Source organism: Homo sapiens, chromosome 5 (assembly GCF_000001405.40).
Source record: "Homo sapiens chromosome 5, GRCh38.p14 Primary Assembly".
Lineage (NCBI taxonomy): Eukaryota > Metazoa > Chordata > Mammalia > Primates > Hominidae > Homo > Homo sapiens.
Window position 1 is genome coordinate 11,197,704 of NC_000005.10, and position 27,179 is coordinate 11,224,882.

At 39.9% G+C, this 27,179-nt stretch overlaps 1 protein-coding gene across 12 annotated transcripts in view; it reads right to left on the reverse strand.

The window, feature by feature from the left end:
• CTNND2 (catenin delta 2) overlaps positions 1 to 27,179 on the reverse strand; it is a 932,611-nt gene that overhangs the window by 225,868 nt on the left and 679,564 nt on the right. For all 12 annotated transcript variants that reach the window (NR_109988.2, XM_017009074.2, XM_017009072.2 and 9 more), the window contains one exon: positions 1,745 to 1,958. Coding sequence is in view for 11 of the 12 variants with exons in the window: in XM_017009074.2 (XP_016864563.1) it covers positions 1,745 to 1,958 (214 nt within the window). In the remaining variant the exon portion in view is untranslated. The remainder of the gene's footprint in view (positions 1 to 1,744; positions 1,959 to 27,179) is intronic.

The window sequence follows — 27,179 nt, forward strand, 5'->3', positions numbered from 1 at the left end:
TTTACAGCTGCTTCAAATGGCAGCACAGGATAAGACACATGCTGCAGAAGATGTCATGTGTCAGGGGTATGGGATTTCCATTCTGTTTTAAGCCATCATTCATCTCAACCTTTGGCACGTGGCTGAGTTTTTCTGGCAATCAGGGAAGCCACAACAGAGGGGTTCTTCTACACAATGAATTTTGTATTGGAGCAAATTCAAATTGTAGTCAAATCCAATTCTTTTCAAATCATAAATGAATCCATACGGTGTACACAGAAGGTGCTCTGCTGGTCTTCCTTTCTCGTGGCTTCATGTATCTGTTGGTGGAGTCTTACTGCACGGAAGCCTCCTGTCCCCATCACATGCACTGAGCTCTTTCTTTTGCAGGCAGTTCCAACTTAAGCACAACCCACAAATATAAGGATGGGTGTTCCTAACCATAATGGTAGGAAATATTTTCAGTTACATAACTCACCCCTAAACTATCATAGATATCATACTGTGTAGATAAAAGTACTTTTACTTTCCCTGACTCATGTCTCCCCACATTAGTTTGGTGTGAAACATTGCTTTAGTAGCACGGCAATTTTAACAATTATTATTTTTTCCACAAAGATGATTTTCTAGTTATAGAAAGAAAAAACAAAAGAAAAAAACCAATTTACATCTAGTTCTAATACAACCAAGAGTGAGAAAGAAATGTGACAATAATCTCAAAGAGTGTACATTTAAGAAAATATACGAAAGTTGGGAGTCTTGACCCGGGACTGGACAAATATTTATGACTCTCTAGCTTGAATAATGTATTTTCTTTAAAAACACATTTTCATCTACTTCATCAGCATAGCTACAAGGAAATTTTAGAGTTAAGACAGAAGGTCGACGGAATCACAGATGATTAAAAGATCTTTTTAGACAGTCAACTATGCAATCCATTTGCTAAATACTTGCTGATGGGGTACTTTTTGATGAACTGAAAACCAAATATCACCTAGAATGGCAGTGAGCCTGATTAAGATGAGTAAGCAGCAGAGTTATTTGAAATGCTGTATTGAGGCCACCTGGGCCATTAGTACTCCAAGTAACACTGCACATTTTAAAAGGGAGGGATGACAGCTTATGGCTAACACGGACTGTGTTTACATGTATTCCATATATGTGCCAAATGTTTTACAGAGTCTCATTTATGAAACCTTCACGACTATGGTGTGGCTACTATAATTATCTCCATTTTACTAAGCCCAAAAGTTCTACAATCATGAAAAAGCTTTAATGTTCCCTTTTTGAAAATTCCTTAATATGTAATAATTGTGACTTTTAATAGACATGAATATTTCATTTAAAAAATTAACTGCTAAGTAGGATAAGCCGTCTGTTGTTAAACACACTAGAAACCAGAATATATACCTTATTAGCAAAAACTGACACACCTTGTCCTTTGATCAATTATTATTAATGCTATTCTAATAAAGAGCCCTGGGTATTGTACGATGCTCAACTACTACTTCATCCACTGACAAAAACTGTTCATGATCACAGAATTTTAGTGAGGATTACATTTACTGGATTATTGAATATGAATCCATGCATGTCACATCTGATACCATTTTCTTCAGTTGTTTACTCATTTGAAAACACATATTGAGACCGCCTATGTTATTAGAACACCACAATATTTATTTGATTAGTACATTTGCCTCTGTGTTGGATAATGGAAAGTTTATCTTGAGATATAATATAATAATTTAATAATGATTCTAACCTGTGACCAGCTCCCGGATCTCCAGGTCAGTCGTCTTGCGGAGTAACCTCACCAGTGCTGGGATGCCACCACAGTTTTTCAGGGCAATTTTGTTATCATCGTTGGCCTTCCCATACACCAGGTTTCTCAGAGCTCCACAGGCACTACGGTGGACTTCGGTCATCCGATGATCCAACAGGTCCACCAGGAGCTGGATGCCTCCTTGTCTCCTTATCTGAAAGAGCAAAGGACACCACTTTTGCTTTACAGTGTAAGGTTTCCCTACCTACACCAAAACATGTTTTTCATATAAAGTATCTGCTAACAATTAATCGCACCAAACTGAATTAAGGCATACAAAAGGAAACAAGAAAAAAATAAGTGTTTGCTTTATATTTGATTGCCGGTATTTGCTTTAATATCCTACCAATAAAAATCCAAATGTATTTCTTTCGAACTATAGAATTTTGGAAAGGTGATTTTAACTTCATATTGAGTGCCTTAGACATTTCTCTCCATAAAATATGCCACAACCTCATGGATGAAGCACATGAAGAAATAAAAGGCATTAGAGTGATCCTCATTCCCTAGACTTATTAAATTTAACCATTGTCTTAAAGGGCTGCAGGAATGATACACAAAATGTTAAAATTATGCTTAATAGGGATATGCTCTAAACATTTCAAAGGAATCAGAAGCGAAACGAGAGACTGGAAGAATTGACACAAGGAGTTTTATCTCAGAAGACCCGCGGAAATAAGAACGTCTCTTACATGAGAGACAGAAGGTGTGAGGCCAAGGCACGTTATGCTTAATTTAGGTATTTGATTCAACAACAACAAAACCACTCTACATTTTACTCTTCTTTTTATCAAAAGAAAATTTTAATCTTTTATAAGTAAATGCAAAATATTTTTGCTGTGTATTTTGAGATGCATGTTCTCCTGGCTGCCCTTTGATTTGGGGAACAATTTTAAAATTTAAATTAGAAACAAAATAAAGTGGCTACTTAACACACAGGCTATATTAGCAAAGCTGCATCTGAAAACTTTTGCATGTATATGGACAAAGAGCATGATTCGTGCAGGAATACCCTTCTTTTACACTTTATGCTTCACCGTTCTTCAGGGATCGAAGGATTAGCATCTTCTCTACTTAATTTTTTGATTACAGAAAAACTCATTCATGTCACAGATGTGCTGGGACACCTGGCTACATCCCCAGCCTCTTTCTTTTCTCTTTCTTTCTTTTCTTTTTTCTTTTTCTTTTTGAGACAGAGTCTCGCTCTGTCACCCAGGCTGGAGTGCAGTGGCGCCATCTCGGCTCACTGCCAGCTCCGCCTCCCGGGTTCACGCCATTCTCCTGCCTCAGCCTCCCGAGTAACTGGGACTATAGGCGTCCGCCACCACGCCCGGCTATTTTTTTTGTATTTTTAGTAGAGACAGGGTTTCACCGTATTAACCAGGATGGTCTCGATCTCCTGACCTCGTGATCCGCCCGCCTCAGCCTCCCAAAGTGTTGGGATTACAGGCGTGAGCCACCGTGCCAGGCCATCCCCAGGCTCTTTCAGTAGTGCCCAAGTGCTGCTCTGTGAGGTGACTCTAACCACACCGTTTAAAACTGCACTTAGAACCACACCCTCACCCCAAGCCAGCATTCTTGTTTATCTTCAAGTGCTATTGAATTCTTCATAGGATTTGTCATGTTCTAACTTATTTGTTATGTTTATCATTATTGTCCGTCTTCTCCTGTTAGGATGTGTGTTCTGGGAGGAAATGTCTCTGTTATATATCCCTATCCCTAAACCCAGTGCAATGCCAGACACCTCATAAATGTTCAGGAAATATTTGTCAAATGAATGGAGAGGGTTAATTAATATATTACTTGCTACGTTGGTGTTGCTCAGCTTTGCTAAAATAGTGTTTTCAAAATGAAGAAATATCCCTCTTTAAAGACAACAAACAAACAAACAAACAAACAAACACCTCTTTTGTGAACAGCCAAGGATGTATCCAGAGGCCTCAGCCCTGCAGCTCTTCCAATCCGGCTTACAAACAAAATAGAGCATGCTTCATTCATACAGGGTGGCCTCTGATGATTCCGAATATGCCTACGGGAATTATTTTCATTCATCAGCAAATGAAAGCAGAAAAAGTGGAAATCTTCAGAGCACTCTTGGACTCTAAATCCCTAAGTTGGAAACCATGAATGCAGCGTTTCACATATGGTGCCTCCAAGGGAACATGACAGGGAAGGAAGAGGGAGGGATGTAGAGGGACAGTGTGGTTGAGGGGGTTATGGTTGCCCAGCCTGAGGGTGGTCACAGCACCTGGGTAAGGGAGACTCAAGGATCTTTTGGGTCAAATAAGGAAAGAGAAAAAGAAGTGGGAAACAACTTTACCCAACTTACAGTTCTACCCAGGGCTTGCTTGGCACCCACCCAAGAGAGATGATGTTTGTATTCCTATATAGGTGTCTTGTTCATGTACCCAGATTATAAGCACATCCACTTTATTATAGTGCTTGAGAAGGGATATTCCACGTGTACAAAAAAGGTTAAACTATGAGTATCACTTTCTCTATGAGTGTATATTTGCCCATGTGTGATTTAGTTCAAAGTTCTCTGAATTTAGTTATTTAAATAATGATGAAACCATTGAAAAGAGATAATAAATCCATTCTTGCAGTGAATCTATTGGTTATGTACTAAAAACAGATGGCATCATCAATCAATCTATGCATTTTATTCATATGTATATATTTTAGCTATATTGGATGTTATAATTAATATTCCTAATTTATTATAATACATTTCCAATTCATATGATTTAATGAATTAAATGATTAAAATATATTAAAAGGGAAAATGAATTCAAACTGAATGCAGCATGAATTCTAAATGCTAAAATGAAAACACAATGTTTTCAGTATGGCCCTAATTAATGCCATATACCCAAATTTATAGTGAGATTTTCAATTTGATTTTAATCTATTTAGATAAACATAAGTAAGTCAATTAACCTTTTTCTTTTGCTCTTATTTGGGGTCACCAGATCCTCTATATTAAAACTTGTTTTCTTGGGGTTTAATTTTATCTAAGAATGTGAGAACCCTACTTCTGTTTTCTGAAGCCAAACATTACTCAGAATTAAAATGTAAATGGCCACATGTGTGAAATGGGATGGCCAGGTCCTTGGTTCTCCCTCCTCCCCCTGCAGCCTCCCCTCTCCCATCAGGACCAGAAGGGAGGCCCTGACATGGACTCCAGTCCTCTTGCTTCTGGTGGCTGTGCGTGGCTCTGATGCTGTCCTTTTCACTTTCCCTCTATTTTGCTTTTCTCCAGGATCCTTCCTTTCTCCAATTTCTTTTTTTTCTTTTTCTTTTTCTTTTTTTCTGAGATGGAGTTTCGCTCTGGTTGCCCAGGCTGGAGTGCAATGGCACGATCTCAGCTCACTAAAACCTCCTCCTCCCGGGTTCAAGCAATTCTCCTTTCTCAGCCTCCCGAGTAGCTGGGATTACAGGCACATGCCATCACGTCTGGCTAATTTTTGTATTTTCAGTAGAGACGGGATTTCATCATACTGGTCAGGCTGGTCTCAAACTCCTGACCTCAGGTGATCTGCCTGCCTCGGCCTCCCAAAGTGCTGGGATTACAGGCATGAGCCACCGCACCTGGCCCCTTCCTCCAATTTCTTGCACCCAATCCATCTACCAGTTTCTTCTGGTACCTAACATGCAATCTTTCCAAGCTTCCAAACAAACCTATTTTAAACACTTAAAATGTACAACTTTCTGAAAACCTATCAGAAGAAACTTGTCTTCTTTGAAATGGCACCTTTATTTATTCTCCCCCAAAACGACAAGTTGTCTAGTTCCAATTTATCCCCCTAGTCGATCACTCCACATCCAGCAAGCTGAGCCCAGGTTTTTGTTAACATATGATCATTGCAGGTCAGTTTACCCTCTCCTCACATTATTACTTTAATCATCTTCATGCAAAATTGTTTTTGTTTTGTTTTGTTTTGTTTTGTTTTTAGACAGAGTTGCGCTCTGTCACCCAGGCTGGAGTGCAGTGGCGCGATCTTGGCTCACTGCAACCTCCGCCTCCAGGGTTCAAGCGATTCGCTTAGAAGACATGAGGTTTCGCCATGTTGCCCAGGCTGGTCTTCAACTCCTAGGCTCAAGCGATTTATCCGCCTCGGTCTCCCAAATTGCTGGGATTACAGGCGTGAGCCACTGTGCCAGGCCTCATGCAGAATTCTTTAAAAGTCAAATCTTGAAAGATTTTAGGTTTCATAGCATTAAAATAAAGTCAATAAAATGCTAGTTAATGTATATCTTGTTATTTATATATAATTCAACAATAAAATAAAATGCATACAAATGATTAAAATGGAAACAATGAATGTTGAATTACATACGGGGAAATGATAGCTTCATTTGAATCTAGACTGAACAATTCTCATATCTGCTACTTTCCTGGACCTAATAGAATTGGACAGTGACCAGAAGGGACTTTTCATACTTGACCTGAATAGACAGTCTTAAACTCACTTATTGAGTTTAAGTGAGTAAAGTGGTTCTTTGACAAATGATTGACCTTAGTCAGTTGTTCCTGTGTCAATGGCTCACATTTATTTTTCTGCTTAGCTGTGCACTTCAGGAATCTAGATGTCGAGAGTAATCTACAAGGAGTAAGGGAGGTGGAGGCTGGTAAACCCCATCCCCAGGGGAAACAAAAGATGAATTAACCAATCAAATAAAGCAAAACTATGCCCTGCCTGTCTTTTGTTTTGTTTTTGGGTTGTTTACAGTGAGGGCATTCTTGAACCTGATGCAGATAATCTCTGGGGAATGAACACTAGAATGTATTCCCAGTTTGCACCAGGGGAGAATAAAAATGGTTTTCATACCCTTTGCCCTAAAATCCGCTGCTTTGAAGTATGTTTACAGTTTAAACTCTAGAACTGAGAGTATCTAAAAATCATGCAAAAGAAGGATGCAGTGGGTATCTTCCTTGTTTTTTCCTTAAAAGGTAGAATATATCTAAGCCTTTCAAATCAGAAAACAAATGGATAGGTAATTAAATTATACACAAGAGATATGCAAGTAATGCAATAGCACCTATTGCAAAAATAGGGCCCCATTTGTTACTCTTAACATAATCTGCATATATTGACAATAGCATATATTTGCCAATGAATTAGCTATCATCATTAAACTGATATCAACATCAATGAGTAATTTATAGCATATTCAATTACAGCAGTGTTCAGATATTTATGACAGTCTTCATAAAAATGTAATGATAATGATGATGTATAGTGGATAAAAAAATACTTTAAACAGCTTGCAATAGAATTCCTCTCGGGAGGTATCTGTCTTTATTTAAAAAAAAAATACTATGACAAGTTGCTTAGAGGATAGTGAGACCCCGAGGGCGTGGCCTCCCAGGCATTCAGGGCAACAGAAGATATCGCTCACCTGCTCTGCATTTGCAAAAGGGAGGGATTTGGAGCTGGGAAGAGAAGACAGAAAAGGTTGGAGTAGCTTTTGTCAACCTATTATTTGGTGATACAAGGACCTCAAAACAGGTAAGGACCTGGGTGTGTGCTGCTATTCCTCTCAGGAATCTTTCATTTTAATAAAATGGATATATCTTTAGGCTTCTGGGTTCATGCTGAAAGAAACTAGGCTGTGCCTGAGACTCAAAGTAAATTTTAATAATAGTGTGCAAGACTATCGCTACATACTATATATATATGTATAGCATATCATATATACACACATACACATATATAGTATACACACACACACAAACTATGGATACTATGTACTATAGTAATTACTTTCTTCAGATACTTATGAAAACTCAAGTCCCAATGTCTGAGAACTGGTTTATAGAAAGAGCTGATTAAAAAGAAGATAAGGGAATGCGGTGATTTTTTTGCTAAATTTTCAATTAACTGTTATTTTTCAATGGTACTGGCTTTGAAAAAGCTTTTTAAAATGATATAATTATTACACATTCTTTTTTAATATTACAAAATTCCAATAATTTTCTCTGCTTATAAGCTACTGGAAGATACAAATTTTATAGATCCCAAACTAGATGACTAAGCAGATGTATGTAGAAATTGCAAGGTTATCAGTTTGTAAAACACACAATTTACCTCACTGAATTTCAAGCCTTACTCTTATTGAAAAGCCAGTTAAACCATCAGTTTCCATAAAATATGAACTGAGGTAAGTCCATGTAGTTGCCTCTGAGTAATACAGAAGTATATTTCATAAAGGTCATAATTTTTTAGTAGAAATTATTTTTGAGAATCTCTCTCCTTCCAATTGTATGAAATGGCCTGCGTTCTCCATTCGATAGGTGAACCAAGATGAGCTATGTTTCTTTCTCAATTGTGTTTTCGAGAGAAAGCACATTGCAGTGACTGGAGGTGCTGCCTCAGACCTAGGTTCAAATCAAATCTTAAAACCGGTTTCCCCCAGGCAAGTTACTTAAATGCCTGTAAAGCATGAACAAAGTGTGAACCTACCTCATAGGTTGTTTTCAGGACTGAATGAGATTTCAAAAGTGAATTGTTTAACAAAGTACTCAGTAAACATTATGTGTCACAGAACCATCCACTGTATCAACTTTTTAAAGGATATTCTTAATTGCTTTCTTACCCGGCCAAAATACAAATTAATTTAATAAAATGTTGATATGTGATAGTGAAAGGAATACAATTTAGGGTTTAACTTTATAAACTGGATTTAGGATGTACGGTATATATCGAATAGATCTCTTGCTAACTGTGAGACGAGCAGTGAAGTTTTCTGAGAATGAAGCAGGCTTGGAGGTCAAATGCACCTCAAAGCTGTTTTTTTCTGGCAACTGTTTTTCTGAGAGCAGACACCCTCCACAAACACACTTGTGAGTCCTCAGAATTGCTGAACACCGTAAATGAGTTTCAACTTTACTCATTAAGTGCACCCAAGAAAGGCCTCTCCATTTTTTTTAAACACAAAAAATTTCAAGCGATTCCTCAAGTTTCTTTTCTAAAGACACCACTCAGGAAATGTGATCTTGATAAGTCTAATGGTTTCTATCACTTCGTGTAAATTTTGAGCTGTCCTTGCAGATACTGAATGCAAAAATCACAAAGCATTGACAATTACAAAGAATGCCTCCAGTAAGTCTTAGTGCATTCTGACTAAACTCAAATGTGAATTTTTATTTCCACATTTAGATATTTCATGATGCTAAAATCCCATGATTTTCTCTAAATTACAAAGTGTTGATGAACCCAGACTAGAAAGTACCTAAGAAATTCTAGGGCCTGGAATAACTTGAATAACTGCTTTCCCTGAATAACTTCATAACATCATCAGTCAGAGGCAAATATCGTGTGGTGAGTGCAGGGTGGATTTCTCCTCCCAAGACCATGTTCCCAGGTTTAAAGGCTACACTTACACTTACTCTCTCTCTCTCTCTGACTACTATCCTATCTCTGCAGATCTGTACATACAATCTGTTCAAGCAGATATATGCTCTACTTCACAGTAGGAGATTTAATCTATTGGATGTTTCATAAGAATACATGCTACATATATACCATGGACTACTATGCAGCCATATAAAAGGATGAGTTCGTGTCCTTTGCAGGGACATGGATGAAGCTGGAAACCATCATTCTCAGCAAACTAACACAGGAACAGAAAACCAAACACTGCATGTTCTCACTCATAAGTGGGAGTTGAACGATGAGAACACATCGACACAGGGAGGGGAACATCACACACTGGGGCCTGTTGGGGGGTGTGGGGCTTGCGGAGGGATAGCATTAGGAGAAATACCTAACGTACATGACGGGTTGATGGGTGCAGAAAACCAACATGGCATGTGTATATCTATGTAACAGACATGCAAGTTCTGCACACGTATCCCAGAACTTCAAGTATTTAAAAAAAAAAAAAAAGAATACATTCAAGGCCTCATGTTATTTAACTTTATTATATCAATTACATATAGTTAGTACCATACCCTAAAACAAATATTCACTGTCTATAAAGATGGACATTGTTTAAAATATTTAAAGATGGATGGTGAGGGCTGACACATTCTTTCTCTCTCACTTCTCTGAATTCTGATCTTTCGGCTTTTTTTGTGTGCTGCTGGACAGCTCTCATCCTCCCCACCTGATTAAGCAGAGGTCTCTCCTTAGGGGCCTGGATTAGATTTCCTTGCCTGGACTCCAAACCCACCACTCGCCTTTGTTATTGGCTTTAGCTTTGTAAGTCCTTGCTTCACAGCTAACTGAGCAGACTATTTGAACTTGAACTTGACTCTGAGAAAACCTGCCACTACTATGGCATTTAAGCAATTTTTAATCCATAATAAAGTGAAGACACCGGTTACCAGCCTTATCATTTAACCTTGTTGTGGGTGTGATGGTCAATAGAGTAAAACTAAAAAACTGAAATAAGGAGGTGAGTCATTTGGAAAAAAGACTCAGATTATCAAGATTGATGAAAAAACCTTTTGGAATTAATTAGAAAATTCAGTAAAATACAAACTTAAAATTTTAAAAATGAAAGCTTCCTCATGGATATATATAAAAATTCATAATTTTCTTATATACTAAAAATAATTGGTCAGAATATTAACAGAAAATTATTCCATTCAGAAAAGCAACATGGTATAGAAAATACTTAGGAAATAAATATGTTATGAATTGGGAAATTTCTGTATGAAGAAAACGACATGTATTTACTGAAATACATAAAAGCAGATGTGAATAAAGGTAAATGGACTACCACATTCCTTCAGTGTTATAAAGATTTCCACTGGTCTCCAGATTAATTTAAATATTTAAGCAGTTCAAATCCAAAGCCCAGTAAATTTTAAGTTGTTTTTGGACACAGTGACACTAAAGTTCATCTGGAAGAATGAACATAGGAAAAAAATCACAAGAAAAATAGAGAATTATGGAAAGATGAACATATTCTAAAGCACCAATATACAGAACAATATGAAATGACCCCAGAATCAATAGATAACAATGGGAGAGAAGAAAAAAACTCCAGAAAAGATACACATGTTTACAAGACTTTAGGATTTCATCATGAAGCAGTATGGATTCGATACCTAGAATTAGTAATAACAGGCTCACCACATAAGGGATGACACAGCATTTGATTTCTTCACAATGACAAAAAGTAAATTCCAGATGGATTAGAAATGTAAATGTAAAACATAAAACAAAAAAGCACTAGGGGGATCTACAAATGGATATTTATATACTACTGGGAAGACCTAAGGTTGATACAAAAGCCAGGAGCCATAATGAAAAGGACCGATGCACACACATTATAAACAAACTTAAAGTCGGGTGGAAAGAACTAAACAAAATATTGGCTACGAACATGATAGATAAGAAGTTTAGATACTTAGCATTGCTAAATTCTTCCTTGAATTTAACCCATCTATTGGCTGTAAAGTGATATCTCTTTTTAGTTTTAATTTGTGTTTTCCTAATTACCAGTGACGTTGAGTCTTTGAATAAATTCTTTACCAAAGAGGTAAAGAATCAACATGAATAAAATTAAAGTACTTTACTGAACAATATAAATACAAACATTAATAAGTATAAAGAAATGCTCTGTTCATGAATGAAAAGAGTGGATATTGAAAAGGCTATAAATTCCCCAAAATTTATTTATACTTTTAACACAATTTCAATCAAAATTCAAGGGATTTTCTAGAACATGACAAAATGATTCTAACTTTCATCTGGAATATTAAGCAAGCAATAAAAAGTAAGACTATTTCAATAAGGAGGAATACAAGGGAGACATTATTTTATCTCATTTATAAATGCTACATAAAGCCTCAATAGTTAAAACGTTGTGATACTGATGTAGTAGTCAAGATGGCTTAGTGGAACAGAATGGATAACCAGGAAATAGAGCCCAGTGTACTTAGGAGCTAACGTGTGATAAAAAGAATTACAAGCCAATGTTAAAGGCCTGAATCACACCTAAAGGTCTTAGAGAAGTTGACTATAGATCATGTACATTCCAAGAATTTAAGAACTAAATGAACCAAATAAGGGCAAAAATAAGTTAAAGGAAATCTATGAGATTTCAAGAATGAATGAGGAGTCCTGAACACAAACAAGAATGGAATCAATTTAATTCCAAAAGTAATAACTGTATGCAGATATAAGATACTGCTTCAGCTTTAGTATCCTAGTGATACAGAGGCCGAGGTGGGCAGATCACGAGGTCAGGAGATTGAGACCATCCTGGCTAACATGGTGAAACCCCGTCTCTACTAAAAATACAAAAAATTAGCCGGGCATGGTGGCAGGTGCCTGTAGTCCCAGCTACTTGGGAGGCTGAGGCAGGAGAATGGCATGAACCCAAAAGGTGGAGCTTGCAGTGAGCCGAGATCGCACCACTGCACTCCAGCCTGGGAGACAGCGAGACTCTGTCTCAAACAAACAACAACAAAAAAAGTGTAAATATAATTTTAATATATCCTTATAGGGAAGCATACTATCCATACTGAAGTTAGGATACATCTTTAGATGGTTCAGGTATTCACTTCCTTTTCTTTCTCCTCCTCCACTCCCTCAATACAATAAGGATAGAGTGTGACACTGGGTAGTTTTATAGAGATAATTTAAATAAAGATATAAGATTGGGCGTGGTGGCTCACATCAGTACTTTGGGAGGCCAAGATGTGCAGATCACTTGAGGTCAGGAGTTTGAGACCAGCCTGGCCAACTTGGCAAAACCCTGTCTCTACTAAAAATACCAAAAATTAGCCAGGCGTGGTGGTGCACACCTGTAATCCCAGCTACTCAGGAGGCTGAGGAATGGGGATCATTTGAGCCCAGGGGGCAGAGGCTGCAGTGAGCCTAGATCTTGCCACTGTACTCCAGCCTGGATGACAGAGGAAGACTCTGTCTAAAAATAAATAAATAAAAATAAAATAAACAAGAAATAAAGATCTAAGACTGACTGATAACAAATACTCTTCAAATGCCGGTCTTACTTTTTAAAAGAAATAGTCATCTCCCTTGAGCATAAATATCTACTTTTTAGGTGAATGGTTACTAATCTAATTATCTCTTCATTTGGAGAGGATAAGATCTAACATATTTATTTGTATGTGGCAAAGCTAAAGTCACAGATTGTTCAACATCTCAAAGAGAATTTTGGATGACCTCACATAAATTTTGAAAACACACACCCCAAAAGGTAGATAGGTAACTTAATTATTTGAAAATCATTAAAACATCTAAGAATGTGATTATAAGAGGCCCACAAATACTGCCCACAAAGCTTTCATTTTATAAGGACTGGACAGTTGCTTGTTTGGCAAATGTTTCCTGTGGGCCTTGTCTGCTCAAGGTGCTGGGGCTTAGAGGAGGTGAGATGGGCCATGGTCCCTGCTGGAAGGAGTCAAGGAACCTGTGGAGTCAGGAATTAAGTAAGGAAACCAACAAGGGAGCAAATATGACCTTTGCAATAATGAAAACTGGAGGCGGCTTTACTGAAAGAGGATCTCGCAATTTTCTAGTCATTATTTTGTAATCTTCTGCTTAAAGAAGATCCACTAAACGGACAAGTTTTAGGTCCATCAACAACTGGGTTCTTCTGGGTGATAAGAACCAAAAAGAAGTCAGAGAAGGAAGAAAGGATAAATAGGGTGTGATGGTGTTGCCGGGGAGTGGGTCAGCGCACACTAGAGCAAAGACTCAGTGACATGAAGTGACAGAGGCCCCAAGGAGAGGGAGACCTGGAAGGCCTGTGTGCTAGTGATGAGCAAAAGAGAGGCAGTGGGGCTGGGGGAGGCGAGATGAGGTTGCAGGGCCCTGGGTTTACTCTGAGGAAGACAGGAATTTAAGTTGCCCTAACTCATTGCTTTTAAAGACCATGTGCCATGTGAGGACAGACTGACCATCAGCTAGGGCCACTGCCCTTGTCCAGGTAAGAGAACCACAGCAGCTTTTGACTGATTGACAGGAGTACAAGCACTAAAAAATGGCCAAATTCTAGGTCTGTTTTACAGGTAGGGTGGTAAATATCAAGTCTGACTGAAAGAAAGGAATCATGCGTGACTACGATTTGGGGCCTTGGGCTTTTAATAAATGAGTGTGTTGATAATCATCACAGCAGTAGTTTTTGGTTGACTGACAGATGGCAAAGCAGTTCAGAAAGACACAGCCCTTCATTTAAATTTCTATGTTACTGGCATGACAAAAGCACACATTTTAAAAACTGCTATTCTTTTGTTCATGCAAAATGGAAAATAACATCTTTCTAAAATATAGAGTTATGCTAAGTATACATGCAGAAATAATAGAGAAATTGTTTTGTGTCTTAGCCTATGGTTGTAACAAATGAGGAGTATTAAATTAAAAGTAATATATTCCACCAAAAGAATTTATGATAGAAATGTCGAGAAAATTTTCTTACATATTTATTTTAATTTTAAATTAAAAATATACTGACTTTAAAAAAATTTAAGTCATCTCAAGACTTTCATTAAACCGGTAAAAATTGTATAGAATATAATTTGCTTTATTATATGTATTACATGATGGAAAGTATTTTTTGTTATGCACATATTTTTTTTTCTTTCTATTTTAGGTGACGGAGTCTCTCATATGTTTTGAAGATATATTTTTGTAGTAGTAAAAGCCAATGCTTAACCACACTAAACTGTGGTTGAGAAAATAATTCCAGTTTTGTTCAGTTCAGCTGATATTTATTAAGCATTGGTCCACATTCCCTGGGGTTGTCATGGTTTAGTGAAGGGGATACACACAGGAACAAATACAGTGTATGAAGCCCACAGGAAAGTCACAAAACCAGCCTCCTTAGGAAATGGGGTGGGGTAATTGTTTCTGGAAGAAATACCAGCTGAACTGACTTCTTGGGAGTTGAAAAACTGGTGACCTATACAATGTAGTACACGATTAAACTCTCAAATGCTTGGAGTGCAGTAGGTCCACGCTTTTTAAAGTTGAGAGCACATATGGTAGGGTTCAGGGAAAGGACAGGCATCAGTATGCCAGACAATGGTGCCTCTTCTTGGCCCTTAAATTCACCCAAAGATTGGGGGCCATTATTTTTCATACTAATAAAGACTTGGAGACTTTACGAAGTAGAACACAAGATGTATGGGAATTTTAAAGCCAAAGTACAGAATGTAAGAGCGTGGCACGTTTCTAGAGAGCTGCTCTGGTCAACAGGCCCTGATTCCTGGAGCCCACATGGCTGAGGCCTGGCTCCACAGAGAGACCAGCAGTGGAAGGCTGGAGAGTGGGAGCTGGTCTCGGTAAGGGCCTGGGCCTGGGCCTGCACGGAGCCCCTCCCAGAGGTAAGAGACAGGGAGCGTGGGGGATGCTGGGAGGAGACTAGACTGGAGCTGGCACTGAAAACCACATAAATGAGGAAATAAACACATAAATGAGGTGATAGGACCCACACATGGTTTCTGGGCAGGAATGACAAGGGAGGTTGTGGCCAGGAAGACATGAGAACAAATTTGAGAGCTGGTTCAAAAGAAGGAATTATCCATCATGTAAAAGTGTATCTTAGCTATTCAATGGTTTGACCATTTTCCTGACACCTAGAAATTTATAAGAAATTTATAGCATAACACACACAGGGGTTTCTACATCTCTCAACCATTTTTGTTTCAATCAACTTAAATGTTTTTACTCCAATAGCTCTGTGTTCTGAGCCCCAGCAAGGTAACTGGTGGAGCCATCTTGTGTTTCTGTGTTTAGCTCGGCCTCCACAATCAGAGGGTGGAGGCCGCTGGGATCCCAGAGGCTGAGCAAAAAGGAAAAGCTTAAGTTCCACCACTCAGAGCTCCCCGGAGCTCCCCGAGGAGTCTGCTGGATTTGACCACTATGACCCGCTCTTTCGAGACTCCACAAACTGAACCATGTCAACCTTATTTTTTCACATTTCTATTGAACACAAAGAAAGCTGTTACCAGGGAAATCTGTCCGCAACAAGGCAAATTGAAATATGATTTATTTAATGGTGCTGCTCAGCTGATTAAATATTATTCACTCTTCATTTTGTCCTTCAGCCCAAGCAGAACATTGATATGACACTTGGATCTTGGTATAAGAAAATACACATTTGGTGCATCTGTGACCCTTGAAATTTACAAAATTATGTACCAAAAAATCCCATCAAGTGCAATGCAGTGCATCCCACACTGATGTGTCATCCTAATGGAGAAGGAGACCTTCTCCCAGGCATTCCATGGAAGGCCACTGCAGAAATTCTGAAGGCTCACAACTCTCCTAGCAGTTTGGGGGTTAGTACTGCTATGTTACACGCATGCCGATAATTTTATATGCACATATATATATATATAGTATAATGTCATACATATATAACAATGTAAACATATATGTCCATAAGTAAATGTATACATTTAAAAGTGAAAATCGTTCAGAAAGGTCTTCTCCTCCTTCCCTCACCAAAATGGGATTCATTCAGTTCTTTATACTATTTTATTCCAATTTAAAGCTTGTAGCGTTAATTTTCTTTTTTTCTTGTAACCCACCACTTGTGGGTTCAGAGGGCCTGCCTGTAGGTACTCTCCTTTCCAATAATTCAAATAGCTACAGATGTTGAGAAGGCTGTTATTTCTTTAATAATTTCTGTTCAAAGATTTTCAGTTCTGGAGTGTACCAGATTCAATGGCTATAACCTCAATAATAAATAGTAAAATGCTCTGATTTTAATCTACTTTCAGAGGTTAGTTCTTATCAGTGAACTCTTTTAAAATCTTTCATGCATGAAATGTCAGGTTTATAAAAATCAAGTTTCTTTGTTCTCTGTTTTATTTACTGATTTTCTAATTTTGCATTTAAAAGAATACAGGCTATATAAATACCTTTGTTTGTATTTTTAATACTTTAAAAATTTTCAGATGAGTTATTTGTTTATTGCATACAATTTTTCTCCAGACTGGAAGGAAGGCAATGATTATACTCTCAGATTTCAATAGACCGGTAGATGCTGAGGACTAATAACGAAGCAGGGCCTTTAGGGGAGGGTTTTTTGTCTTTTATTTCTACATTCTGCACACACAGTAGTCAAAGTCATATTTTCAAAAAACATACGTAACCAATCAGATCATGTTGATCACTGCTCAAAATCCTCTAATGATTCCTGCCACATTTAGAAGATCATTAACCTTGGCCTTCAGTCCTGCCTGACCTGCCTTGTCTTCTCTCTGCTTCCATCTCTCATTATTGTTTCTTACTCACTTCGGCTTCCATTGCCTTGGGCTTCTGGAAATTCCTGAGCAGGTTGTTCTCCCAGAGTCTGCAGAGTAGCTTCTCTTCCATCATGCAGGTGTCCCCTAAACCTGATTAGCCATCAAGAATGATGGTATGACCACCCCTTCCCCCTTCATCCTCAATCTTCCCCTTCTCTAGGTTCCATCTTAGCTCCATTTACCACCTGACATATTTCACATACTTATTGGTTCATTTTCCGCTTCCATCCTCACCCAGAGAGATGTCAGTGCTGTGAGAGCAGAGATCTTGCCCGACTTGCTCAATGCTGTGTCCACAGGGCTGAGAGGAGTGCCTGGCAGCCAGCAGACATTCCATATATCCATGTCATCTTTAGACTGAGCGCAGTTTTGACTACTGACTTTGAACTTCTGCAATATGTCTGATTGGAACGTCTGTCTGTCAGGAGAAGTATCATATATCAAGCAGATTCACACTTGGGAACAAGGACTTCCAGTGCCTAAGAAGATATCTCGGAAACTCAGAATATTATACAATCATGAATATCATGACACTGGTCTGGCAAACATCATGCACCTCTAAAAATGTTTTTCTTACAGCTTTATCTTTTTATTTCATGAAGTGAGAGTAATTTTCCCACAAGTACACGACAGCACTATGTATAAAATGCCTCTGCCCTATGTACACCTGCATCTTGTTTGTGGGAGCCAGTGCTGAATATATTAGCTAATTATAGATATGCAGATGCCTTGTTTTCTTTAATGCAAAAATATGTAAAAGCATGTGAAATAGTGTAGCACTCAGGTCCATGGTTGAATATCCAATTTCCATTAAATGAACTTGGGTTAAATAGTAAAGAGACAGATAAAGTCGGAACAATAAGGAAGATTATTCATAATTCAAAATCTTCACATTCTGCTGTCACTCTTTAGGCTTTAAGACACTAAAATGGGGAAAAATCTAAATTGCAAAACAAATTATCATCCATTGATTCATTTCTTAGGATGTTCATCACAGAGAAATTAAACACACAGCCTGGAAGACTACCAAAAGGGGGAAAATGTTACCTTTGGGAACTCTCAGAGATAATATGGAAAACTGTTAGGTATTTACTAATATAGATATGCTTACAGGGGTGAGGGAAATAGTGATTTTGAATGACAAATTAAAGAAATTGTGGTTTACATTGAAATTTTCAAAAGGGGATTTTCATAACGAGAGTTGGGACTTATTCAACATATAATCGACACATTTGCTTTCAAGACCATGTGGTCATTAATATGGAATGGATTGATGTGACCAGCCAACCAACTAGTCAAAGGAATAATGCTCTGTTAAGTGGTAAAAAATCCTGAATCTTATCTGAAGGAAGATAGCTCCACAGAGCAGGATGTAATGTGGCATCCTGCAGGCAGACGTGCAGCTGTGCAGGGTTCCTCTAAGAGCTGAGAGAGCATTTTCCGCACTCTAATACACGGTGGTAGGCAGAACAATGCCCCCCCACCGCCACCCTATAAGATGTCAATGTCCCGATGCCTGAAACCTGTGAATACATCATGTTACACGGAAAAGAGGAATTAAGGTTGAAGATGGAATGAAGGCTGCTAATTAGCTGATCTTAAAGAGTCTAACATTAACTATCTGGGTGAGCTCCATGCAACCAAAAAGTTCCTTTCAAAGCCGAAGAGAGTGGCAGGAGAGTCAGAACAGAAGAACAACAGTGTGAGACAGACTCAACCAGCCATTGCTGGCTTTGAAGAGTGAAGGGGCCATAGACCAAGGAATGCAAGAAGCCTCTAGAAGCTGGAAAATGAGAGAAAACAGACTTCACCCTAGAGGCTCCAGAAAGGAACACAAACCTGCCAACACTGGGATGTTAGCCCAGTGAGACCAATTTTGCATTCTGAGCCCCAGAGCTACCAGATAGTAAGTGTATGTCGTATGAAGTCACTAAGGGTGTGGAAATTTGTTACAGCAGCAATACAGTGCTCATACATAGGTGGAAAATCTGCTGCAAAGTTATGTGCTCATGAGGAGCACTTCAGGCTCGCTGGATAAGAAGTGGCTGCTTTGATCAGCACACCTGCAAACAGCAGAGGGTTGCTGTGCCCACTCATTCCCAAAGTCCAAGCTGCTCCCTCCAGGAGGTTGTAACCAATAGATCATCCTCCTGCTATAACCACCAGGGCTCATTCTTTGGCTGCTGGAGGAGGTGCCTACTGAAGGAGGTGGATCTATATTGCCCGCCTAAATATAAGTCTGATAGGACCAAGGCAATCTCAATGTGTGCTGTGCACACATTGCACTTCTATGTACCAAGAAGTACCAAGTGTGAAGTACTCTTTGTCCATTTTCTTGACTCAATGGTCAACTCACTGGCCATTGTCCACAAACCACTGTTAAATGACTCTCTTTTCAGATAATTTCAATGACGGAAGACAGAAAAAGTCTTCCCAAGGTGGCAGATTGCACAATGGATGGCTAATCCTGTCTACACAAGTAAGAAATCGTTCATTATAACTAGCATCTTTTCAGATGAGTCATTCAAGAGAATACAGCCTGGTCAACTGGGAAGATGTGCTCTGGTATTTTGGTTTTGCTTTTTGTCCTGTTAACATTAACTTTCCCACAAACCAGGGAGGAAGGAGGTGGCTTTTCAAAAGTGTTCTCCATCATCTTGTGCTCTTGTCTGCAACTCCTGTTAATATTTATCACTGGCCTTGTTCTGATAAAGAGTCATAGGCAGTGCCTATGATTTCATTGTGGAAAAGAATGAAGCATCAGAAAGGATGCAGAGAGACCTGAATTCTGAGGCTTCCTGCTCATGCATTTAGTGGACATCTCTGGCATAACATAGGAATTTATTAAGGAAATCCTTACATTTAATTAGAGAGTTTTCAAGGCAGACCCTTTTTATGTCTGTATTTGAAATTTTCCAGGGTCTAACAGGAATTTCAGGCCGAAATGTCTCCTAGGGATGCAAGCATTCTCTACCAGTGCCTAAGAGCAAGCCACTAATCACTTTTCAAAAGGTAAGTATTTAATGGTGGACTCTGGTGGTCAGTATGTTCAAAAGCTTAAGGTTGTCTTTCTGTTGCCCCTACTAGCTTTTGCCATGAACTCCAATCTCTTTGGGTGTTTGTTGCTATTTGGGTAAAGCAGTTTGTGGATCTTAGGCATCCAAGGTTGCGGCTCATATTATTATCCACTGAAGACCTTGAGAGCTTCTTGTTGTTTGGGACCACCTTAAAAAATAAATCCCTCCCTCCCTCCCTTCATTTCTTCCTTCTTTCCTCCCTTCCTCCCTCCCTTCTTCCTCCTTCCTCCTTCCCTTCTTCCTCCTTCCTTCCTTTTCCTCTTCATCTGTCTTTTTTCTTTTTTCTCTTTTTTTTCTAATGGGACTTAACAATATCCCTGAATATAAGATAGGATTTCTTCAGGATCCAAGGAGTTGTACCAAGTGTTATATTTCTTACTCATTTCAGGGTAGCATCAGGGAAATATTTTTTCGTCAGTTGACAAATATCCCTGATTCTTCAAATTTTCCCCGTTGAGTCATCCTCATAATTCTCCAGAATTGACAAGCCAGCATCATCTTGTCATCGGAGTCATGCTGGTGCCAACTCTGACAGTCTTCTCATTTGTAAGCCCGATAATCATTATACCAGTAAAGTTGCATATCAGAGTATCTTTTATCATTAGTAAGTCTGGATCCCTACATAAAAGTTTTGGGCCATGGGTAAGGGAATGAGCATATCTTTGTGTGAAAACTGTTAAAATAGATTGTGTGTGTTCTCTCAAATAAAGGCAAATTGAGATTGGCTTTTTCTCAGAAACTAGGATTGAAAAAAAAGGCATTTTTCATATGGATGACAGTACTGTAAGCCCCTGGTGCCTACCAAGCTTCCTTTTTAGCTTGAACTACGTTGAATACTGTCAAAGCCACATGGAGCACCACTTTATTTAGACCTTAATAATCTATAAAGTCAACCCAGAAAAGCTGACTGCTTTGGTCCAATAAGCCATCTGTATAGAGAGGTGTTGCGAGCCAGGAGACCAGCCTCTGTGACATCCTTAGTTAATACAGATGTCACCAGTCCCTTCCCAGAAAATCCATCTTGTTTTCGTTTGGGGATTGCTGGGTCTTTCTGGCAGAGAGGCACTCAGTCAATGTGCACAATTACAACAGGTATACCCACCATTTTCACCACAGCTGTCCCCTCATGTGGAAGCTCACCCTGGCCTGCACATAGGGTGTGGCTGGATATGAGATGAGACCTTTCATTTTAAACAGCCACCATTCCTTTCTCTCTCTGAGCAGCCTCCAGTTCTTTAGTATGATGGCCAGGTATAATTACACTGATCAAGCTCAGTGTAAAATGTGGTTTCCCAACCAATGGCCATAAAAGTAGCCTCAGCATGTGGTCCCAGATCTCTCGCTAGAAGTGGTGGAAGAGTAGACCAGCCATCCCCATGCAGTGGGGGTCACCTGGCTGGTCCTCCTCACCCACTTCAACTATTAATCCTCCCACCATCACAAGAATCAAATGGAGTTAAAATCTTTCTTCAAGATCACCATGTTTCCTCCCTTCCTGAAACTCCAGCAGGGAATTTTTCAAATCAGCTAACTTAAGCATAAATACTCTAAATTTCCTAGAATCTTACAGAGGAGAGAAGAACATCAGTTTTTATTTCTTTTTTCTTCCAAGGTATTTAGGTTTTACTTATCAGTGGACAAGTACTTCTATGATAGGCTGAGTAATTCTCCTCCCTGAAGATGTCCAGGCCTTAATCCCTGTGAATATATGACCTTACATAGCAAAAGGGACTTTGCTGCTGTGATTAAGAAACTTGAGATGGGACATTTGTTCTGGATTATCTGGATGGTCCCAGTGTCATCACAAGAGTCCTTATAAGAAGAAAGCAGAGAGAGGGGATGTGATGTTAGAGTCAGAGGTCAGAATGATGAAATCTGAAGACGAAGGAAGAGACCACAAGCTAAGGAATGCAGCCAGCCTTCAGAAGCTGAAAAAGTCAAAGGATCAGAATCTCCCCTCAGGACACCATGACTTTGGCCCAGGAAAAGAACTTTGGAAATTATTCAGCTCTGAAATTTTAGATCTCTGTTGACAGAGTTCTTTCTTCTGTGGTCCAATTTCAGTATCTCTTAGAATAGGGTAGAGTTGTTCTAGCCTGTGAATAGGGGGCCTACTTCTCACTCCACCTCCCCAACTCCACTCACCAATCATTGCCAAACAGCTCCATCTTGAAAGGGGAGCTCTGTAAGACAACTGAAGGGAAGCGTTCTGCTCAACTGTCCATGTCACTATTTTATCATTTGTAAACGATATTATTATTAGTGTCTTCACAACATGAGAGAAAAACAGAAGAGGGACATATAGGAGGGAAACATTTAACTCCTGGTATGCTTCTCCATCACCTGTGAAGATGGTAAAAATCCATAAAAAAAAAAATTTAGAGTGTGTTTGCATTACATAGAAAAGAATAAAGAACAGCTGGGAGGTTGTGTCTCATTCCCCAGTGAAGAGGAAAGAAGGAAACTGGCTTAAAAGCCCCATAGATGGTGGCAACAGAAAAAATATTAGTTAGGTTAAGCAAAATTAAATGAAGGGAGTGCCAGGCAGTCGGTGAAGTCTGAGAAGATCCCCTGGGATTTAAGGGAAATGCAGACAGGAGCTTCTACTCCTCACATCTCCTTCATTCGGTCCATACTTGGGGTTCCAAAGCTCACCCAGCCCTCCTAACAATGGCACTGTCATTGTCTCTGTGCTCCTTTTCATTTGTCTCCATTTTCCCTGGACCCCTGCCCAGACAACAGATTTGATCACCTGGGGTCAGTAGCAACGATAATCCCCACTTCCATTCCAAAGCTTGAAAGGAAACTGTGCAGCGAACATACCCTTCTATGCGAGGGTGTGCTGGGATGAGTCCCAGGCATGCTACTGGAACGCTCTTTGCCCGTCTCCATAAATACTTAGAGATTGGATATGCCAGTATTATTCACCCACTGCTACAGTTCAGAGACGTTTTGGCTTAACAAAGCTTGTGTGGGCCTAATCTCCTAATATATCACACCGTTTCCAGGGGACATACATTTCAATTGCAAGATTCTTTCAAACAATCTTTGGAAGTTGAAGAGAGCCTGTATAGATCCACAGGAAACACAGAAATCATCCCATAAGTACAATTAAATGCAAATAACAAAAGAGTTAATGCCAACTCAGTGTTCTACTTGTCATGCAAGAGGCAAATTAATTAAGAAGGATTGTAAGTACAGAAGAGCAATGTGAATTTTGAAGAGCTCTTAGCAAAGCAGATTTTTTTTTCTTATGTTTGGAGCATGGTTAAAAAGTGCACTAGGGCTAACAAACTAGAGTAGTCATATAATGAGCACCTATAGCTTTTCTTGAAACATTTAAAAAATATTTGTAATGCTGAAGTGCATCTAATAGGAAGACACAGCTCTTCCAATCAGCGTCTGATACGAAATGACTGAAACATGGTCAAGCCAGAAATTTGCATACATTTAAAGTCAGCCAACTGGGGCACCTGTTCAAGTCAGGGAGGCTCTTCCCCTCCATTGTGTTAACTATTTCCAAGATGGCACATGTAGGTGCCCACAGAGCAGGGTTATTATGCATTTGTAGTTCCACCAGGTTGAGGAGGTCTAAATCTTTAGATTTAGAATGAACTGGAACAATAAACTTGGAAGATAAGGTTGGAAGAGTGATCAGAGGCTCAAAAGCAGTAAGTCTAAGATCATTTGCATAGGGTGGATTAATGAAACAGAGATTGCAAAAACATAGGAAAGCTCATAACTGCAATGAAATCTTAGGAGATGACGGCGCCTTATAATCTATGCATGGACATCACATGATACGAAGCCTTCTTGTATTGTTTCTCTCAGTATTTTCACAAAATGTTCTCTCCAGTTCTGTGAGCCAGAAAAACCTGGAGAACGTCTGGAAGGGAAAAATCAAGAAAATGACAGATAAACAAGGTGTGTCTTCCTTGGTTCAACGATTTAGAGATTTTTACTTGGAAACAAGGCCTGAGCGTGCTGAGTCGGTAGCAATAAGAAGCCAAGTGTCACCAGGAGGAGAAAGGCCAAGGTTTTGCTGCCACTTCCCCTACAGACTAAAGCAAAAGAAATGACCAGAATGCCAGATGAAGAAGTTTATGGTGGATATAAAGTTAAACTATGTCCCTGAAAAAGCAACTAGTTCTTCAGGTACAGGTCTTCTTCTCTAAACGATGACATATCAGAAATGCATCAAAACGGCAAAGCACAGTGAGAAATCCCTCAGTGAGTGCCGGCTCCTTCACCTGTGATGCAAATGCGAATGGACTGACATTCACACAGGTCATCTGTTTCTTCTGCTCACCATTGCAAAGACTACAAACCTTTTGTGGGTGGGTGGAGAGGCGGGGGGAAGATAAAAAGAAGACCCATTAAAATAGAAGGGAAGCATGGCCCAAAGAAGAAATGGAGTTAAAATAACCCAAAGTGATATTTAGCAAACCCAGAAAGGAAACTTCAAAGAGATCTGAAAAATACCTGCTGCATCATTGTTCGCAAGTCATGACCCAGTTTCAGAGACTGCTGTCTGACTCACGTCTGTTTTGCAAAGAGAACTTTGTGTACCTGGTGGTTTTAATCAGGAGTCTTGCCTCGCTGCAGGGTAGCTACATTTCATCACAATATTGGTCTGATTCCTTAACTTCATTCACTTTGGGCTATTAAAATGGTCTCCTTCTGGTTATAAAGAAAAAGCCTTGTGGGGTGTGTTGGCTCACGCCTGTATTCTCAGCACTTTGGGAGGCAAAGGCTGGAGGATCACTTGAGTCTGGGAGTTCAAGATCATCCTGGGTAACATAGGGAGACCCTGTCTCTACAAAAAATAAAAAAATTAGTATGGCATGGTGGCCATTGTCTGTAGTCCCAGCTCCTTGGATGGCCAAAGCAGGAGGATTTCTTGAGTTCAGGAGGTCAAGGCTGCAGTGAACCCTGATCACACCACTGCACTCCAGCCTGGGAGATAGTGAGACCCTGTCTCAAAAAAATAAAAAGGAATAAGCCTGTCCATTTTACCACTTCCATCCTTTCCCCCTCCCCATCTCCAACATCCCACCTCCTGAAGCAGGCTGGACGTGAGCTCCAGCCCCCTGGTGTGCCCTTCCCACCCATCTCCTTCCATCCTGTTCTTTCTCCTTTCTCATTGGAGGTGGGAGGGAGAAGGAAGAGGTGTTTCCTTACATAAAGGCAGGCTAGAGGCCACCAGGCCACTGCCTATGTCTGTGGGCCATCTCTGCCAAGGTGACTCCTGGGCTTTAGCAGGGGCCAGTTAGGTGGCTGAAGCTCTCTGCCACCCCATATCTTTGCATCTTTGGCCCTACATCTTTGATGCCTACACCTTGCTTCACCCCTTCTGCCATGCTCCTGCAGGAACACGTCTAAATCCCTCCATCACTAGTCTCTTCTCTCCCCTGTGACCCTGCCCTTGTCCATCTTCCTTGAAGGGACCTTTAAGCATAAAGGAATACAGTCCTTGCTCAAAGTCTGGCTGAATCCCTGTGTGATCTCCCCACTGTACTCCAGCAGCCCAAGGCAAGTCACCAGCTCAGAAGCTGAGTTGACAGCCAGTTGGGGAAGAAGATGCCAGTTTTCCTTTCTTGCTGCCTCCTACAAACTTTAAGGGCTATTCCCATCCTTAGGCCCCATCTTCCCCCAGTGTAGCTTCCTTTCCTCTCCTAGTTCTCCTGTTAAACTTCTAAATGGAAAAGATCATCAAACCAGTGAGGTCTCTACTGCCCCTAGAGAGATTAGCTCTTCTATCAAGAGCTGGGCCCTTGAACTTGGTCCTGGGGGAGCCATATCTACTGAAGTCTCTACTCAGTGACCTCTAGAGCCAGGAGAGGTGCTCATTTGGCACCTCACACAGAACTGTCACGCTGACATCTGATGCGTCCCTGACATTTGGGAGGAGAGGCCTTTGTTGGAGGAGCCCTAAAATCTCTTTAGCCTGCAGGGAAAATCTCCAAGGCCAAGACAAGCCTCTTGATGGCTACAGGATGCTAGAATCAGCTTAGGTTTAGGAGGAAAAGGAGGAGAAAGGAGAGTTAAAAGGAGCAGGCAGTGGAGATAGGAGGGTAGAGAGGTATACAATGTGCAAAAAATAGATGCATATGGCAGCTAGTAGCAGTGGCCCACCTGGCCTGGGATCCCCTGCTTCTCATCTGTCCCATCTATTGGTAAGTAAAAACACGACTGAATCACCATGGTTTGGTGTCTCTGGAGTCCTTCTTACTCGGCTTTTCCCCCTGTATTCTGAGTCCATGATTCTGCCTTACCCTCCAAGTTGATCTATACCTCCACGCAGCGGTATTTGTCCTCTTTAGTTGTAATTCTGTCCCAGGCTGTTAGCAATATTGCCTTCTTATTATCTCCTCCACTGAGGATGACTCATGGTCCTTTCCACTCAAAGCACTGGCCCAATAATTCCTGAGTGTGCCTCGTCCATCATCCTTCATGTGTGAAGGACCAAGCCTTCATGAAAATGGAAAAATATATTGGCCTCTGGCTGCAATAGTGCTCACTGTGGATCACATATCACATCTCTCTTGTGTTCACAAAGGTTGTAGACCCTGAGAAGCTTTAACTTCTCCACAGAGCAAACCCCTCCACCGAGGCCTGGTACACTGACCCTCAGCACATTCCTTGCTCTCTTCTTCCTCCTTCCCTGGCTGTATTTAAACATGACAAGATTCCATATCTTTTTGAAATAGGAATTATAGCTCTGTTTGTTAAAGTCACTGCCTTCCTTCTTTTTCTTTGTGCTGACCTAACTTGTCACATGTCACCCAGCTGTTTCCTGCAGGCTGTGTGCATGACCGCTAGTATCCTGGTGGCCAACCTCACAGGAGAGCTTCATCTTGCCTTGTGGCTCCTGGACTCTTCCACAGTGCTGTTCTGGAAGGTTCTTAGTCAAATGCCCCTCCAGTTTCTCCCACTTACTAACATTCTCTTATTTCTGAGTCTTTCTGGTTTACTTCCTAATTATGGATTACATGTCCTATCATAAATCATTCACATCTCCTTCAGATCCAATAAGTCACTTTGTTTTTATGACACTTTC